General features: G+C 35.3%; 1 long non-coding RNA gene across 1 annotated transcript in view; it reads right to left on the bottom strand.

The window, feature by feature from the left end:
• Positions 1–11,036, bottom strand: part of LOC107985178 (uncharacterized) — a 125,185-nt gene extending 114,149 nt beyond the window's left edge. The window contains exon 1 of the long non-coding RNA XR_001753480.1: positions 10,961–11,036. This is a non-coding gene — a long non-coding RNA (uncharacterized LOC107985178). The remainder of the gene's footprint in view (positions 1–10,960) is intronic.
• Between the last annotated feature and the right edge of the window lie 8,997 nt (positions 11,037–20,033).

Genomic DNA, 20,033 nt, shown 5'->3' with positions numbered 1-20,033 from the left:
TTTAGTTAACTATTTTGAGTTTCACTTTCTTTATTTGTGTAAAGGACATGACTGATCCAGTTGTCTTGAGGCTATTGTGAGAATCACTCAGCAAATAACAGAAGAATCATATGCTAATGATTTGTGACATTTTCAAAATATTTCTGAAGAAATGTTCCTTTTATGATCGTGTGTGTGCCGCTTTCACAAGCGGTCAATAGAAATTACTTTGTATAACTATTCATCAAGTTAGTAAAACTTAAGAAGCATATGTGAAAAGAACATTGATATTTTGAAGAAATAAAGTAAAATAATAAACATTAAATGTTAACATTAATTATTAACATCATAGGCTGGGCGCGGTGGCTCACCCCTCTAATCCCAGCACTTTGGGAGGCCAAGGCAGGCAGATCACGAGGTCCAGAGATTAAGACCATCTGGCCAACATGGTGAAATGCCGTCTCTACGAAAAATACAAAAATTAGCTGGGCGTGTTGGCGCACGCCTGTAGTCCCAGCTACTCTGGAGGCTGAGGCAGAATTGTTTGAACCCAGGAGGCAAAGGTTGCAGGGAGCCAAGATCGTGCCACTGGACTCCAGCCTGGAGACAGAGCGAGATTCCATCTCAAAAAAAAAAAAAAAAAAAATCGTAATTAGAAGATTATGAAGTGAAACTTACCTGTTTTATTTCAAATAGAGATTTGAAGAAAGCAAAGGAAAAGGCAAAATGTCTTCATTTGTAATCAGATAACCAAGATTTTCCACTCTAGTTCTAATAGATAAAACTTTTATAAAAATTTCTTAATCTTATTAACCTTTATTTAAGTTAGTTTGCCATTTTTAAAGTGAATCTACTGTTACTTCAGCATTTTTGGTAGGATCAACGTAAAGTTTAAGAAGACATCCAACAAAATACTTTCATTCTTAGCAGAAACGATTAATAAATGAATATTATTTCAATTCTTCAATCTAGGGGAAACAAGACAAATTGGTATATTCTCCTATCTATTTATAATTTTCATGCCTGAGGCTTTATGTCCTTATTTTGATTAATATTTATGGAAGAATTCTGGAAGAGTAAAATAAATCACATACCAATAACATTTATCAGACCAGCGAAGCTCAGAATACTTGTTTAGTGAAAGCACACAGATCACATTAGACAATGATTTTTTCCATTCTATTTTTAAAGCATATGTAAGATACTAGATTATTGTACAACATATTTCTAAAGATTAAAAAATTAAAAACAGTACTTTGTGAATAAGCATGATCAATCATAACATAATCACAACTAAATTCTTACCTTTTCTCTAAGGGCATTCATGATTATTATCAATATTTACTTTTTGCCAGTATTTGAGTAGATTCATTTACTACTTTGGTTACACCCTCATAGATTGAAAACACACAATTCATCTATGTTCCAGTGATGGTCTTATTCCTTAGTGGTATCTTAATGTTGCTTTTTATTCACAGAAGCCAGTACATCATTATAGCTTACAACCATGCTGTTTTCATTTAAAGATCCTACCTTAATACTACTTATACCCGTTGTTGCAAAACTAAGTTTTACATGTTGGTTGAAATTTCAGTGCAACATTTGGGGAGAGTGTACAGCACTCCATGTGCTGCAGTTGATAAATATGAATTAAGAAAATACATAAAACTTCTGTTATTTTTACTATGTATGTTATTCATAATATCAATAACAGCATGTTTTAACTTGTATTTGATAAATGTTTAAGGAGTAACTATTGTGGGTTCGGTTTTTCATATATAATGTAAAACCAATGGATATGAGGCTTTCTATCACAGAAGAGACTGAATGCAGGAGACAGACATCACACAAATAAATGCATAAATTATCAGTGCAAGTCATAATAAGTTCTATGAAGAAGAATGGATTGTTTTGAGAAAACCATAGTAGAAAATAATCAGGAGCAGTGGTCTTAGTGAAAATTATTTCTCTGTGGAAGTGACATTTAGATCAGTAGGAGAAGAAATGACTTGGGGATACCCAGAAGAGGAACTAATGAGGAGTTCACCAGCCAGAGTCTAGCTTTGAACAGCCCTGAGCAACTGCCAGAAGGCCAAGGGGGCTGGAGTTAGTGACCATGGAGTGTTTAGTGTGGTGACAGATGGTAAGAAAGGAATATATGTGAGATTAAATCATGTAAGCAGTACTTAGGGGTTCAACTTTTATTGTAGTGTAAATAAAGAAAAATAAAGTTTTTAAGCAGGTGAGTGACCTTTATCAACTTAAAATTTACTCATAGCAAATGCATCCCTCACATTATAGGATGGGGCATTTCATCCAACTTGAAAAAGTCAATAGACGTTTGTCTTTTCATTTTTTTTTTTTTTTTTTTGGAAATACAGACATTTCCCTAAGAAGAGTTATTATGGTGACAAGGTCTCTTTAGGGTGGGGCATTCAAATATAGGCTTGACTTCATTCCACTTCATCTTTTTTTTAATCAATATTCAAAGCTTTGAAATAATCTGATTTCTCACTTTTGGCCTTTCTCCTATTAACCAAACTAAATATTTCATAGATATTGATAACTGTAAATTCACAATACAAAAACATTATTTGCTGTTTAACTTTAAAATATCTAACATTACTTAGTTGCAAATACTCAATTCTGGAAAGTGTCCGCCCAACAAATACACACAAAATCTCACCCCAGAGTAAGGGGGTAAGTGTTTTATTTGAAATTATCCTGAAAATATCTTTTTCAAAGTTATATGTAAAAGTATACATATTAAACATTCAAAATTAAGAATAGATATTAAATGCTTTGTCTTATTACACCAGAAAAATATGTGGAGCAAAAATTTATTGTATTATAAATAAAATATATATTTTGCTTAATTCAGAATTGCATTAGCCAGTTGTCTTTGCAATTAGAGTAGTGCATAAAATATTTATATATTTTTGCCCTGTTAATATCCAAAAATAAATAAATACATGGATTGAAATATGTTGTGGGGAAAAAAAGCATGATCACCCTGTTGGGAAATAACCTAGAACTAGAGATAAAGTTTTGAACAATGCAAACATTTTTGGAATCCAGTATATTTATGTTCAATTCAATTGCTTTCCTGAGAAGAGATCAGCCCTTACTGTTACAATTTCCTTACACAAATATGAGTTACTACCTGAACCAAAAATTAATTTGCACCTCGAGAAATACAGTAAAGAGAGAGTTACCAATCTGCCAGGTAAGAAATTGCTTAAAGATAGAATAAACGCGTTAGCATTCTTTAAAATTGAATTTTCACCTTGCTTCAGTGGGGGTGCAGGATAGGTAATGAGTTCACTCTATTACATGATTGATGGTGTCTGCACATTTTTTCCATACTTTCCCAAATAATTTGGCTTCTTATTTTTATAGACATATAGATGGGCTCCTGTAGGTGGAGTCAAATGCAGCACAGAAAATAGCTATTTAAGGAAAGAAAGGTAATTTAATCACTTTATCTGCTCTGTATTGGACTGTTTCTCACCCAATTGCCAATGATTGAAGCAATTAGAGAACAATCTTCAGTCACCACTTTACAGGTGCTACCAAAAGGTCACAATTTGTTGCTGTTATAATCTGCTGCTGAGTTTGAACTGGCATGTTGGATCTAAAACATTCCACTGCCCTTTTTCTGTAATTATTACTTTTCCTCGAGGTTGTGAGGTGGGCCCTAATTATGTGCTGGATTGAAGTCAAAAAATACTCATATAACTCCATAGTTTATAAGCAGATCAGCAGTGGTGCAGCACTGAATATATGGGGCTGTTCCAAAAACAGGGAGGATTAATTATGGGGGTATTGCCTTCATTAGGGTCCTGAGCAAAGTAAGCAATGAAATCACTGGACAAGGGATTACAGGATCATTAAAATGCTTAGGCACATAAACCTACTTAGCCTACAACCAGGCTGTATTACTGCCCCTGAGTGCTGGAAGTATCTGTAGTTATCCCATTCTCTTTCCAGTTAAATTATTAAATTATAATTGTTTTGGCATATGTAAGGGTGTAATCCCTCATTTATCTAACATATGTTGTCATATGTTAGATATGACTGATCATGATACCAGGGAAATAGTGATAACATTTACACACACACACACACACACACACACACTTCAGAGTCCTGTGCAACAGAACTGTTAAAAAAAAATGAGACCTATATGATGTTACAAACTTTTTATTATGACACGTTAAGACTTTGAAAGGAAAAAAAAATAAGGAAAAAAGGAAGAAAAGAACAATGACGCCTGTCATCATGATTACTTGATAAAGAAAAAAGCATTTTAATAATAACAAAATTGAGAAAGAATTTAGTTGAGAATGAATAATAGTGCATTATTATCTCCAAATGTGGCTTTATGAAAAACTCCTTAAGTTGCTTCTAACGTTTTTCTTTCTCTGTAAAACGGTAATAACTTTGACATAAATTCTTATATGTCTGTAGATCAATTTTTTGTGAAACACCAGTAAAGAGAGAGAGAAAGAAAATAGTGACAAACAGCATATTCAAGAAGGTGGTTTTGAATCACACTGGACAGACAATGACACAGTCTACAAAGGTGAGAGGATATTTTCAGGAAAAAGTGTAAAAGAGATAGAAGCTTTGATTTGAAGTTTGAATATAAGTTAATGAAAAATCAGATGGTAGCATGCATTTTCCAGGCAGGGTATAGAAAATCAATTTGCACATAAAGAAGCATAAGCAGGCACAATGCACCTGGGAAATGTAAATAGCTCTGGATAAGTGGAATACAGGTTGCATGTTTGGGACAACTGAGAGAAAGAGAGAGTAAATTTTTAAATCACTGGGCCTGGAAACTCATAGTACAGAAGGACTCACATGCTATAGATATTTTGTATGAAATATTATGTGGAGTACAAAGTGTGATCACTTGTTGAGAAATAATCCCGAACTAAAGATAAATTTAGGAACAATGTAAACATTTTTGGAATCTGGTATATTTATGCTCAACTAGTCAGTAAAAATGTTTAATTTAATTTTTCAAAAATTTACTTACAATCTTTCACTACGGTCTGATGGATAAAAGGCTTTAAGTAAGAAAATATTATATCAGAAGGTATGTGATCAAGAAGACAAAGATATGAAGAAACATAAAGGAGAGTTATTAATCTGAGGAACTCTCCCAAGATGCTGAATTTAACAAACTGACAAGAAACAGAGGAGATTATGTAAACACAGCATAGGATAATTCCTAGAGGAAGGGAAAATGACGGCCCACATCCAAGATCTAGAAATACAAGAATTGTCTTGGCACATGGTGAAAGATGAGGTTAAAGGCTGAGAGAAGAAGGCATATTAAAGTGAATATAATATGCAAGGCCAAATAACACATTGCCCAACAAAGACATAAGGAATATGCTGGAAAAACAAAGTGTTCTGCTCTGTCACCAGGGCTGACATTAGGAGATTCTGTTTATGGTTGTTAGCAATAGGGATGATTGTCTCCCTCCCATAATAGAGGCCTGGTGTGACAGGGAACATCCAACTCCCAGTGAACACAATTACCTATGAGTGGAAAGATTTGCAGACATGCAGGAGTCAACTGTAGATGGTGATGAAGATAAAAATAGAAGATAGTATCTTTTTTGGGGGGCAATATAGATGGACACCCAAAAAGGCTCCTCAATCTGTAAAATTAAAACAAAATTGAATATGAGGAGAGCAATTACCCCAATACAAAGTTGTAGTTCCCTTCCCAGTTTTCAGACCTGTTCCAGTTTTCAAACTAGGACCTACTGACTGAAAGCAAAACTAGGTGCAATTGACTGAAAGCAAAACTAGGTCCAGAATGAAGGAAACTGAAGTATCACATCAATTGCATGTGATGATGACTTCTCCAGACATTCCTCAAAGGGATTTCTGGACATTTTCTTAGTTAGCTGTGCACTGGGAAAACAGAAATACTCAAACATTTTGAAGACTCGTGAACACAGGGTTAGAGATGACCACAATAGCCAGAGACTCAAAGCGTCATCATCATCATCATGCTCCCTCCCCAAATATTGGGGGCATACGTAGGAAAATAATAAATGGAGTTGATGTGGCATGGCTCTGTGTCCCCACTCAAATCTCATGTTGAATTGTAATTCCTACGTATTGGGGAAGGGACCTGATGGGAGGTGATTGGATCATGGGGATGAATTTCTCCCTCACTCTTCTCATGATGGTGAGTGAATTCTCATGAGAGCGGATTATAAAAGTGTGGCACTTCCCTCCTTATTCTCTCTCTCTTGCCACCATGTAAGGTGTGCCTTGTTTCCCCTTCTCCTTCCATCATGATTATAAGTTTTCTGAGGTCTCCCCAGCCAAGCGAGACTGTGAGTCAACTAAACCTCTTTTCTTTATAAATTACCCAGTCTCAGGCAGTTCTTTATAGCAATGTGAAAACTGACTAATACAGGATTCCAGAGCCATGCTAACTTCGTGATGGGCCTGCTATCTAGTAGTTACTCTTTGATCCTCCAAACTGAAATAGACATACTAGATGTTTGGCATAGTTCCTAAGCTGTGTAATATCCTTGCCCTGTGGAGTAAAAGCTTCTACGGTAAGAAAAAAAAGGTAAAGCCTCTGAAATCTCACCCCCTCTGAATAATAAGTCAAAAATACTATCATATCCCAGGAAGGGATTTTTTAAAAGTATATATAATTCAAGTCTAAAAGGTATATAACTAGATATTCAGTCTATTTTAATTTAATTCACCAATCAGAACTCAAAGGATCAGACAGATCGTAGAAGATGTGAGTGGACTATTGTCAACTTAACCAAATAATAGCCCTAATTGTAGCCACTATATCAAATGCAGTATCTTTTCTGAAGCACATAAACAAAATTTCATGTGCATGGTATACAGCCATTCAACTGGCAAATGTGTCCTTTTTAACTTCTATAAGAATATACAATTAGATATATTTCATATAGAAATGACAATAATATATCCTTAAAGTTTTGCCCCAGACGAGGTTAACTTTGCCACCCCATCATAATATAAACTCACGACCTCTAGACCATCTAGAATCACTCTGGTCTATTATCTTGATTATCTCATACTCATCAAATCAGGTAAGCAAGAAGTGACTAGTACATTGTGGCCTTAGTGAAACACAAGCATTTTCTGATGGTAGGATATAAACTTCATTAGAAACCCCATGAAAACTCAGTCTCACTACAGCATCAAAATATTATGTATTTTATATCTATTTGTATATAAATATATATTTATTTCATATGTATCTTATATGGAGAGAGATTTAATAAAATGAGAGAGATAAAAATGAAGTATTTTATTGTGCTTTGCTTTATTGTGCTTTACAGATATTGTGTATTTTACAAATTGAAGATGTGTAGCAATTCTATGTCAAACAAGTCTATTGGTGCCAATTTTCCAAAAGCATGTGTTCATTTCATGTCTTTGAGTCACATTTGGATAATTCTTGCAATACTTCAAACATTTTTTATTATGATATATGTTATGGTAATTTATAATCAGTGATCTTTATTGTTACTATTATAATTGTTCTGGGGCCATAAACATCACCCATATAAGACTGTAAACTTAATGGATAAATGTTGTATGTGTTCTGACTGCTCCAGTAACTAGCCATTCCCCCATCTCTCTACCTCTCCCTGGGTATCCCTATTCCCTGAGACACAAGAACATTGAAATTAGGCCAATTAATAAAACTACAATGACCTCTAAGTGTTTCAGTGAAAGAATCTCACACCTCTCACTTTAAAACAAAAGCTAGAAATGATTACGCTTAGTGAGGAAGTCAGGTCAAACCCCAGAGAGGCCAAAAGCTAGGCCTCTTGTGTCAGTTGGCCAAGTTGCACATGAAAAGGAAAAGTTCTTAAAGATAATCAAAATAGCTATTCCTGTGAACACATGAATCATAAGAAAGCAAAACAGTCCTATTACTGATAATGGAGAAAGTTTTAGTGGTCTAGATAGTTCAGACCAGCTATAATATTCTGTTAAGCCAAAGCCTACTCCATAGCATAGACCTAACTCTCTTCAATTCTATGAAGGCTGAGATAACTGAGGAAGCTCAGAAGAAAAGTTTGAGTGTAGCAGAGGTTAGTTCATAAGGGTTAGGGAAAGAAGCCACCTCCATAACATAAATGTGCAAGGTGAAGCAGCAAGTGCTGAAGTAGAAGCTACAGCAAGTTATCCAGAAGATCTAGCCAAGATAAGTGGTGATGATGGCTACATTAAATAAGAGATTTTCAGTGTAAACAAAACAGTCTTGGCCAGGTGTGGTGTCTCACGCCTATAATCCTAGCACTTTGGGAGGCTGAGGAGGGCGGACCACCTGAGGTCAGGAGTTCAAGATTAATCTGCCTGGCCAACATGGTGAAACCCCATCTCTACTAAAAATACAAAAATTAGCCGGGCGTGGAGGTGCATGCCTGTAATCCCAGCTACTGGGGAGGCTGAGGCAGGAAAATCCCTTGAACCCAGGGGGTGGAGTTTGCAGTGAGCTGAGATCGTGCCATTGCACTCTAGCCTGGGTGACAGAACAAGACTCCATCTCAAAACAAAAACAAAAACAGTCTTGTAGTGGAAGATGCCATCTAGGACTTCATAGCAAGAGAGAAGCTAATGACTGACTTTAAAGCTTCACAGGACAAGTCGACTCTCTTGTTAGGAGCTAATGCAGTTGGGGACTTAAGTTGAAGACAATGCTCAATTATCATTCTGAAAATTGTAGAGCCCTGAAGAATGATACTAAATCTCCTTTGTGCTCTATAAATGGAACAACAAGGTCTGGATGATAACAACTGTTTATAGCATGGTTTAATACATATTTTAAGCCCATTGTTGAGACCTACTGGTCAGAAAAAAATATTTCTTTCAAAATGTTACTGTTCATTGACAATGCACCTGGTTACCCAGGATCTCTGATGGTAAGGAGTTTCATGTTGTTTTCATGCCTGCTAATATAACATCCATTCTGCAGCCAATGGAACAAGGAGTAATTTTGACTTTCAAGTCTTATGATTTAAGAAATACATTCTATAAGGCTACAGTAGCTATAGTGATTCCTCTAATGAATCTGGCCAAAATAAATTGATAGCCTTCTCAAAAAAATTCACCATTCTAGATGTCCTTAACACCATTTGTGATGCATAGGAGATCAAAATATCAACATGAACAAGAGGTTGGAAGAAGTTGATTCCAACCCTCATGAATGACTTTGAGAGGCTCAGTAATTCGGTGGAAGATGTAGTGTGAATAACAAGATAACTACAATTAGAAGTGGAGCTTGAATATGTGACTGAATGACTGCAATCTCATGATAAAACATTCATGGGTGAAGAGTTGCTACCTATGGATAAGCAATGAAAGTCGTTTCTTGAGATAGAAGCTACTCCTAGTGAAGTTGCTGTGAGCATTGTTGAAATGACAACAAAGGATTTAGAATATTACACAAAATTAGTTGATAAAGCAGCAGCAGCTTTTGAGATGATTTACTCTAGCATTGATAAAAGGTCTACTGCGGGTAAAATGCGATCAAAAAACATCATGTACTACAGAGAAATCTTTTGTGAAAGAATGCCACAAGCTCGTCATTGTCTTATTTTAAAAAATTGACACAGCCATCTCAAGCTTCAGCAACCACCACCCTGATCAGTCATCAACCATCAAACATCAAGGAAAGATTTTCCCAGCAAAATATTTTTATGACTCTCTGAAGGCTGAGATGATTGTTAGCATTTTTTGGTAAAAAGTAGTTTTTAATTAAGGCATGTGCTTTTTTAGACATAATGATATTGCACATTTATAGACTATAGTATCATGTAAGCATAACTTTTTTTTTTTTTTTTTTTTGAGATGCAGTCTCGCTCTGTCACCCAGGCTGGAGTGCAGTGGCGCAATCTCGGCTCACTGCAAGCTCCGCCTCCCGGGTTGGCACCATTCTCCTGCCTCAGCCTCCCCAGTAGCTGGGACTACAGGCGCCCGCCACTGCGCCCGGCTAATTTTTTGTATTTTCAGTAGAGACGGGGTTTCACCGTGTTAGCCAGGATGGTCTCGATCTCCTGACCTTGTGATCCGCCTGCCTCGGCCTCCCAAAGAGCTGGGATTACAGGCGTGAGCCACCGTGCCCAGCCCCAAGCATAACTTTTATATGCACTGGGAAACCAAAAAATTTGTGTGACTTGCTTTATTGCAATATTCACTTTATTGTGGCTTTTTGGAATGAAACCTACAAACTCTCTGAGGGAATAAGGGATTTAGTTTTTGTATAAAAATATCTTTATTTTGGCGTCTTCATTTATTTAATGACAATTCATCAAAACAGATAATTTTAGGTTGGCAGGTCTTTGATGATAACACTGTTTCATTAAAGTTTCACTCATCTCATTGTTACAAGAAGTTGGTGTGGGGATATCACGGTATCTATAATTATTTTTCCCTCTTAGTCAGCTAGACTTATATTCACTGAAATAATCTGGATAATCTATTTTATTCTCAATTGTAATATTCAATTATATTCCAGATGATAAGATCATTATTAGGATGGACTGCTAGTACACAGAGAGAGATGAACATACAAGCAAAGGCATAACATGTTATTGTGACTATAACAGAAGATAGAGTTTAGAAAGGAAAGAAAATGCCAGAAAAACCAAAGTGGAACCTGTAGCAGTTGTCAGTGTCCTACTCATTTACCTTCACACTCCGCATGTCGATATACATACGCCTGACATCAACTGCTTGAGAAACTTTTTTGGAACCCAATCTGGCTTTGCCACCTAGAGATCAGCTTGAAGTTCCCAGGATTTGATGTCATCCCAGGAGCAAGTATTAACCAGTGACTCACAAGACTTCCTCATGTATATGAACCCCAGCTCCCTCCACCTCCCTCAAACGTTGGGCAGAATAACTCCAATATACAAGTTTTACGTTACCAAGACCACTCTCCACTTACAGGAATAAGTTGCTTGTTGAAGAACTCTGCATGGTCTATATTTGCTCATTTCCATTCCCTTTCTACCTTGTTCACTCTCCTACTGGTGTTTCCCGAGATCACCTATAAAATAAGTTATATTACAAAATAAACAATTCAATCTTGATCTCAAGATGTACTTCCAAGGGGACATAAATTAACACAAAATCCAATAAAGGGAATGGTCAACTGTCTGTTAACCGGAGATAGAGCATGTTGAAAATTAAGGAATTCAGCAGTGTCTCAAAGCAAAGTCACAGCTTCTGCTGAGGATCTCGCTGTTCATATTTCAGCGGTCACTCAGGAAGAAATCACTTTAGGGAATGTGGGTCACCAGTGAATGACATTTGAAAGGCAGATTGGTCACTAGAAAGAATAATAAGATGGAAAAGAAAAAGTGTACCAGAAAGTCCAGCAGTCATAATCCTTCAACTAAATCTCAGGTAATAGTATAGCAATATAAGATAATAATAATAATAAATAAAATAAATTCCAGCCAACTGACAAATAGGAAATCCAATGTGATTTCTCTGATTGGTGTTATGGCAGTGAGAGATTTAAATCAAAGGATGAATTATGCACAATAACAGTTTAATATGAATCACATTGACTGGTTTTCCCCCTATTCTTCTCTAGGCATATTTAAGCACTGCCTAAATTCTTTTAGCCAGGCATCTTTGAGGAAATTTAAAATTATATGAGCAACCGAATACTATTTTTAATCAAGTTCAAATCCTTCATGATATGTTTCTTAGGAAATATATGTTAGCGGTGCTCTAATTTCAACAAAGCTACCTAAGAACCATCTCCTTAGAAGATTCATATTATAATTCATTTTAAATTTCATCATGGTATTAATAGTTTATCCTGCTATACATATTGTGTATTGAAATTGTACAAAAATTCTAGCTTGGTATGGGAGAAGAAAAATAAACACTTGTAATGTACTACATAAAACCAGAGAAATTAGACACAGAGAACTAGACATAGTTATGGACCGTTGCCATTATATTCTCCCAAGGTCACACGACCAAGGTGAAACTTCAAAAGCCTAATAAAGTGTGTGTCATGTAAATAGTTATAAAAAACAACTTTCTGATAGAATTTAAGAGATGAGAAAGCTCAGAATACGATTTAAGTAAAGTGCAACAGTATTTGCACTTAGGGCTTCTATTGGAAAGACATTTCATACACTGATTCAGAGTATAATGGGCTTGTCTAAGGCAAACTATATGTAATTTATTGCATACATAGAACATTTTTTATGTAGATACTTTCTGTAAAGTCTTTTATTCTCCCAATTGCTATGTTTCCATATGGAGAACATCTTTATCTTCAAGGAACTGAAGGAACTTCTTTGTTGCCAGAAAAATGTAGGAGTAAGAATGTTTTACTAGGATTAATATTCTTTCCATCTGGCATTTTACTATTTGAGCCACATTATAAATAATACTTTTAACAACAAATAAAGGTTTAAGGGGTCATTAGTTTAAGTGTAATATTTTAAAGACAAAATATATTTAAAAGGAGCCAAATGAATGTCTCTGAGGACCTAATTAAAATTTAAGAATTTATAATAGAGTCTTGAAAAGCTAAATAAGATACACATAGTAACAAACTATAATAATACTAGAGAACTTTTTTTGCAAATAGACTATATCAAACATTTCAGTTTAGAGGCACAAGGTGTAATGTTCTCAGAAATGAAAGTAGAATTTAAACATTATGTGCTCATTTTATTTGCCCTAATATAAACACCAGGGAAATAACCTTTCCATGAAACAAAAACTGTTTCTGATAGACTCACAAAGACATTGTAGACGTTCTCTGTCTCTGTCTCTGTGTGTGTGTGTGTGTGTGTGTGTGTTTATGCGTGTGCATGCACAAACATATCCCTGGGTACACAGAAAGAATACAAAGACATAGAGACTTAACTTCAAAGAACAGTGATAAATAGCATCACATCAAGTTGAAGAAACATGCCACGCAGAACAGGTTTGGACTTGAGTCAACAGACAACAGATTACAGGAGCACAGTTAACTACACACTTCAAAAAGAGGTGGCCCACAGACAACAGCAAAGTATCATGGCTACAAATGTCTTCAAAAATGTGAAATGGAATAGTTTTATATGCAGCTTTGATTGCTTAAAAATATGTGTTTAAAACAAAGCTTTTGAAAATTCTAATAGCTGCCCAAGTACTAGTCTGAATAAACCAGAAATGCATGGGAGGGCTACAAGATTACAGTTATTTAAACACAGGAAAGAAACAGATAATGAGGAGTGCTATGTTTCTACCTCTGCTTCTGTGATTTAGAGAGGTCTCTTTCCTTAAGATTTCTGACTCATAAAATCATTCATATACTGACCTGGAAGCTGGGTTATTAGATTTCTTCTCAAATTAGGCAACTTGGTGAAGATCAAAATTTTAATTAATTGTTCTGTTTTCATGAGCAAGGAGTCAGGAAAACCCTCTTCATATCTTATAGTTTGTCATTTGCCCTCGTTGAAGGAAGAATAATTGTACATAGGGAAGCTGGGATATTTCAAAAGTTGTACAAGTGATGCTGTGAGAGTCTCTCTGCAGACGCAAAACTACTCTCACAGACACAGGCATTCATAGCCCTGACCAAGCTCTTATTGAGAGGTGAAAGACTGAAAGTATAGTAACGTACTGATGGCAGTGAGGTTCTCTGGGAACAAGTTTAACTTTTGAACATGCCAATTGATATAACAACATGGAGAAATAAGGGGATTCTGATTGATTTTATTTCTTATGTTTCTTTCTTTTTTTTTTTTTTGGCTCATCCTGCGTTAGCTACGCACTCCTTCCTGATCTTCCTTAAGCATTCCATGTGTGTCTCTATTGACACCCTTGCAGGGCCTTTTTTCTGGAGTTTCTTCCCCAGGTGTCCACATGGCTTACTCCCTCCATCCATTCAGGTCTCTGAACAGCTGTTGCTTTCTAATAGAGCCTTGACTTGAACACTTTATTTAAAATGGTGCCCCGGTTATTTTTAAAAACTTATTTCACAGCTCCCATTCATTTTATCTTGTTTAGTTTGAAAATTGTCTGTTTCATTTCTCCTGAATGTGTCTCCATTAGGGCAGATTTTTGTTGGTTTTATTCAGTGCCTTATCCCAGTATTGTAGAAATGCCTGGCACATTAAAAAAAAGTTATTACTTTTGTTGTTCAATGAAAAACACAGTATGTGCAAGCACTGGATTCCATTCACTGGAAAAAATATTTAGTGTGTTTTTATTATGCGTTAGACTCCACACTAGACCCAACTATTACCAAATCTCTACATAAAACATGTTTGTGTTCAATGATAGATTCTAATCACCACTCATGTTTGTCAGCAAATCATATTTTAAATCTTTAATTCATTTATTAACATATACTGGCAAAAGTATTTTGAAAATGCCTAAAAGTAAGTACTAATAAAAAATTTAAATGACAATATCTTCATTGTATTTGGACACTATAGGAAAAATCTGTGAGATATAGAGAACAAGCTTCAGTTGCTTATGGCATCATTGGAAGAACCACAGCTGCTGTTCTATGTTCTCCTCTTCCCCTCATAAGCATGGAATTCGTTAACTTTATCCTCTGCGTCCATGTTAGAATGTAGATTGAAATGACAGGTATAAAAATGCAGCAAAATTACATATGTAAATTGTATCTAATCATTACATTAATAGGAATTAGCCACTCGAATACAAAGACAGATATAGAAAGAAAAATTGAATACAATAAAATTATCGGCCTTTGCTATCTATCTTTCTATATAGATAGATAGCACAAAGGCTGATATATATACATACATATGTACTTGAGATTCAAAGACACAAACAGGTTGAATGTGCAAAGATGGAAAATAATGTACCATATAAACAGAAACAAAAGAAAGCTGAAGTGGTTATATTAATATTTTTTAAAAAGTATTTAGGACACAGATTTGTTAACAGAGGAAAGGACTGAAATACATGCACATAAAAATAGTGTGCTAATGCACAGAAGACATTGCTGAACTTGAAAAGAGAAATAGACAATTGAAAGAGACATAACTGACATACACAGACCCTCCAATTAACAGCAGAATACACATTCTTCTCAAGTGCGTATGAACCATTTTTCATGATAGACCATATGCTAACACCTAAAACTAGCCTCAGTACATTTAAAAAGATAAAATCATATCAAGTATGTTATCTGATCACAATATCTGATCACAAATTCACAAATATATGGAAATTAAACACCACATTGCTAAATATTCAATGGGTCAAAAAAAGAAGTAACGAATAAAAGTATAAAATATTTTGAGACGAACAAAAACAAAAAACACAATATACCACAACATTTGGGATGTAGCTAACACTGTGCTTAGATAAAAAAAAATAGCCATAAGCATATACATATGAACAAAGATCTTGAATCAAGAACCTAACTTTTCAACATAAGAAACTAGAAAATAAAGAGCAAACTAACCTCAAAGCAAGATGGTAGAAAATTAGAGCAGAAAAAGTGAAGCAAATAATGAAAAATAATAGAATCAATGAAACCAAAAATTATTTATTGAGAAGATTAAAAAACAAAATTTTATCTAGACTTACAAAAGAAAAAATGATTCAAATGATTAAAATAAGCAATAAAAGAGGGATCATTGCAAGCAATCTTACAGAAATAAAAAGGACTATTAAGTAAAACTCTGAGAAACTGTATACCAACTAATTATACAGACTAAATGAAATTCCTACAAAGACACAAACTACTGACACTGATATCAAATTAATAGAAAATTTTAATAAACTTTTAACAAGTAAAGGGATTGAATTAATAACCCAAAAGAACCCCCAAAACCCCAAACTTGTAAATTTAAAAGTGCTCCAAATATAAAGTCTACTTAACTAGTTAAAATGGAGGGAAAAAAAAATCACACAAAGAAAAAGGAAGCCAGGACCAGATGGCTTCCTTGGTGGACTCTCTCAAACTATTCACAATAGCAAAGACTTGGAACCAAGCCAAATGTCCAACAATGATAGACTGGATTAAGAAAATGTGGCACATATACACCATGGAATACTATGCAGCCAGAAAAAATGATGAGTTCATGTCCTTTGTAGGGACATGGATGAAGCTGGAAACCATCATTCTCAGCAAACTATCGCAAGGACAAAAAACCAAACACCACATGTTCTCACTCATAGGTGGAAATTGAACAATGAGAACACATGGACCCAGGAAGGGGAACATCACACACCGGGGCCTTTTGTAGGGTGGGGGGAGGGGGGAGGGATAGCATTTGGAGATATACCTAATGTTAAATGACGAGTTACTGGGTGCAGCACACAAACATGGCACATGTATACATATGTAACAAACCTGCACGTTGTGCACATGTACCCTAGAACTTAAAGTATAATTTAAAAAAGAAGAGAAAATATGTACCCTTTATACAGTCTTCCAAAAAGTCAGAGAATGAAAATATTTCCCAACTCATTCTATGAGACCATTATTACCCTGATACCAAAATTAGACAAATAATTGGACAAATTAGACAAATAATTCCAAAATCAGACAAATAGTAATACCAAAATTAGGCAAAAGAAACCCTGCAGACCAATACTGCACATACAATGTGAATATACATATTAAATTCCTCAACAAAATACTAACAGACAAAATCCAGCAAAATATAGAAGAGATTACATACCATGACCAAGTTGTCTTCATCCCAGGAAAGCAAGATAGGTTTAATTAGAAAAATCAAGCAAGATAATACACTATATTAATATAATAAAAAGCAAAAACCCCACAAAAATCTCACCACATTTATATATATATATATATAAAGCATTTATAACATCTGAGCTTTTTATGATAAAACACTCAACAAACTAAGCATAGAAGGGAACTTCCTCAACCCAATAAAATGTATCTATGAAAAACACACAACTAGCATCAAATTTAATGGTTTAAGAATGAAAACTTTTTCTCCTAAGATCAAGACCAAGACAAGGATAACTACTCTCATCATTTATTTTCGAAATTGTAGAGGAAGCTGTAGTCAGGGCAATTAGGCAGAAAATAAAAAATAAGTAATGACTTTCAGATAAGAAATAAAGTATAGATCTGTATCTATTGATATATCTATTGCAGATGATATTATCTTATATAGAGGAAATCCTAAAGGATTTACAAAACAAAACAAAAAACAACTTGAAAATGAATGATTTCAGTAAGGTTGCAGAATACAACATCAATAGGGAAGAATCAATTGTATTTTGTACACTAGCAATGACAAATCCAAAAATGAAATTACTAATACCATTATATTTTTATTGCTTCAAAAATCAAAATACTCAGGAATAAACCTCATAAAGAAATACAAGATCTGTACCCTGAAAAAAACAAAACATTGCAAAAATAAATTCAAGAGGACCCAGGTAAATGGAAAGACATTCTATATTCATGGATCAGATAACTTAATATTTCTGAATCAGTAATACCTCCTAAACTCTTTTACAGACTTTATTTAATCTCTATTAAAATCCAGTTTTCTTCTTTTGCAGAAGTTTACTAGTTTGTCCTAAAATTCATATGGAGATGCAAAGAACCCAGATTAACCAAAGAAATATCCTCCTCAGCTACAGAGGAAATGGACAAGGGAGACACGAACCTAGCAAATAATGCAGGATCAGGGAGTAATCAAGTAATTTCCCCACTCCCAAGGCAGGATATCCTTGCAATGTCTACCTAGAGCAGTTCAGATAGTTGTGAACCAGTGACTACTGTTTGGTTTTGTTCTGTTTCTCTAACATTTCATACCTCTTTTATTCCAAGTGGGAATATTGGCTACTATTAATACTGTCCTAGGTACTACACATATACATTCTTTATGCATATACTTCTATAATAGTTGAAATACAAGTGCCTTAGCTATGTCTGGTCAAAATGGGAATAAATTTTTGGAAATCCTAATATAAAGATGGATGAAATTACTTCCTGCACTGAACTTTGGGATATGTTTCTTTGCAAAAAGTCAGCATATACTGTGTGTGATAAAGAATGAAATAAATACTTAACAACTAGAAGGGAAGATTCTGGCAGAATTAATCAATCCCATTTTTTTTTTCTGTACACACATGCTATCTTTCCTATATACTTCCCAGCAGGGAGGGCCATGTGACTGGCCAACAGAATGGGGGTAACTATGAAAGACACCTCTATGCCTGGAACACTAAACCTGCACAAGCCTCCACAGCTCTGTCCCTCATTTTACATCCTGGCTGGATTCAAAGCATACTGGGGAGGATTCTAAATCCACAGCTTTGGTGAATCCACATCATGGAAGAAGCCTGAATCAGATCATGTTACAGAACCTTCCTACTGATCTTTATTGTATTGTGACATGAGAATGAAGTGAACCTGTAATGTCTTAAGTAAGTGAGGAACTGGCATTTTTGTCTTGCTACCATCATTATCTCTCTCCAAGGAATCAGATGCCGTGGGATGGATGGTCTAGCTTCTTCTCTTCCATTTCCTTCTTTCATCCCAGGATTCCCCTCAGCCACTTCTTGACCATTGACTCTTTGGAAGTATCTTTCCCCTTCCTCTTTCACTGGCATTTGAGAGGGAAATGGGAAATTTCTTAGAGAAATATTTGCACAAGAGGAGTCAGAGAACTCACGTCTTCCTTGTTACTGGGTTCTGGGTCCTGAGGTAGAAGCTACTTAAGGCGAGACTACATAAATAGCTGGAGGAATAAGAACTGAGGAAGAAAACGGGCTTGCCGTTCTCTGAGATGGTAATGGTGGTGGGAATGGGTGGATACATGTACACAGCTAGAGTAAAATGCTAGAATTCAGATCATTTTTCTTTCTAGATGACAGTAACAGGTAGAGGCTTAGTGTCAGGCAAGAAATGTACAACCTTTTTTTTTTTGTTTTGTTTTTTAAATTCCACACTACCATGGAAGAGCACTTGATTCCACCTGTGCCACACGGGGAGTTTGGCTGTTCCCTGTGATGTTGGGAATCTAAGAATACGCCTCCTGTTTTTTTCCTCCCTTTGATTAAAATGATAGGTGATCTGTGGACAGAAAGGATCTATGTCTTGGATTGTCTCCAGTTAAATTCTCATCTCTAGGCGAGCCTGAGTCTATCTCTCAAGTACCATGATCCTCTTCACAGAATCCTTGACTCTGCTTCACTCCATGGCGTATGTTTTGTTTTTTCCTTCTCATAAGCCTCTGAGTCACAAATTAGTTAAAATAAAATATGATTGGGCACCATCTATGTACCAGAAACTGTCCTAGTATTGGAGATGCAAGCGTAAACAAAATAGAAAAAATATCATGCATTTATAGTCCTGACATTCTAGTGGGAAAAATTGGCTACTGCTTTCACATGAATTTGTGCCATGGACCTCCATATTACAAACGTTTAACACTTAATTATACCTCATGTTCTGTGTATAATTGAATATGGACTATGCTTCTCTCCTGAGGGGAAAAAAAGTGCTTTAAATAAAGAAAAATGTATTGATTTTTATTGACATAGAATAATAAATATATGATTAATGAGGCCTATAAGTCAAGCAAAACAGGGAGAAAATAATGATACCTAGAGGTCAGATTCAAGGGTGAAAAGCAGCAATGGGCAATTTGGACCTACTCTACAGAAATAGGAAAGAAAATTATTATATTTAAGAAGAAATACATTGAGAAAAATATGCATAATTTTCTGAGAGAAAGCAGGTTTCAAAAATAGTCATATCTGTACAACTTGACACTTTTTATGTAATTCACCCTGTGGAAGCTGCTGTGTTTTGTCATATCCATGGGCGATTTTGAGCTGCAGGAGCTGGTTAGTACATGGGAATATAGATAGACAAGGTAATGTAGCACTCCAATTTGTGGTCCTTGCCTCATTATAAATCCAGCTTTATGCAAGTCCTGTCTGAGTGACACGGAAGTTCCGGTTCTGTCTTTCAGGACTTTTCTCTACTTCCTCCTAATTTACTCCAGCTTCTTGCTTCACCATCA

The sequence above is a fragment of the Homo sapiens genome, chromosome 18, assembly GCF_000001405.40.
Source record: "Homo sapiens chromosome 18, GRCh38.p14 Primary Assembly".
Lineage (NCBI taxonomy): Eukaryota > Metazoa > Chordata > Mammalia > Primates > Hominidae > Homo > Homo sapiens.
This window is presented reverse-complemented; position numbering and strand designations above follow the sequence as displayed.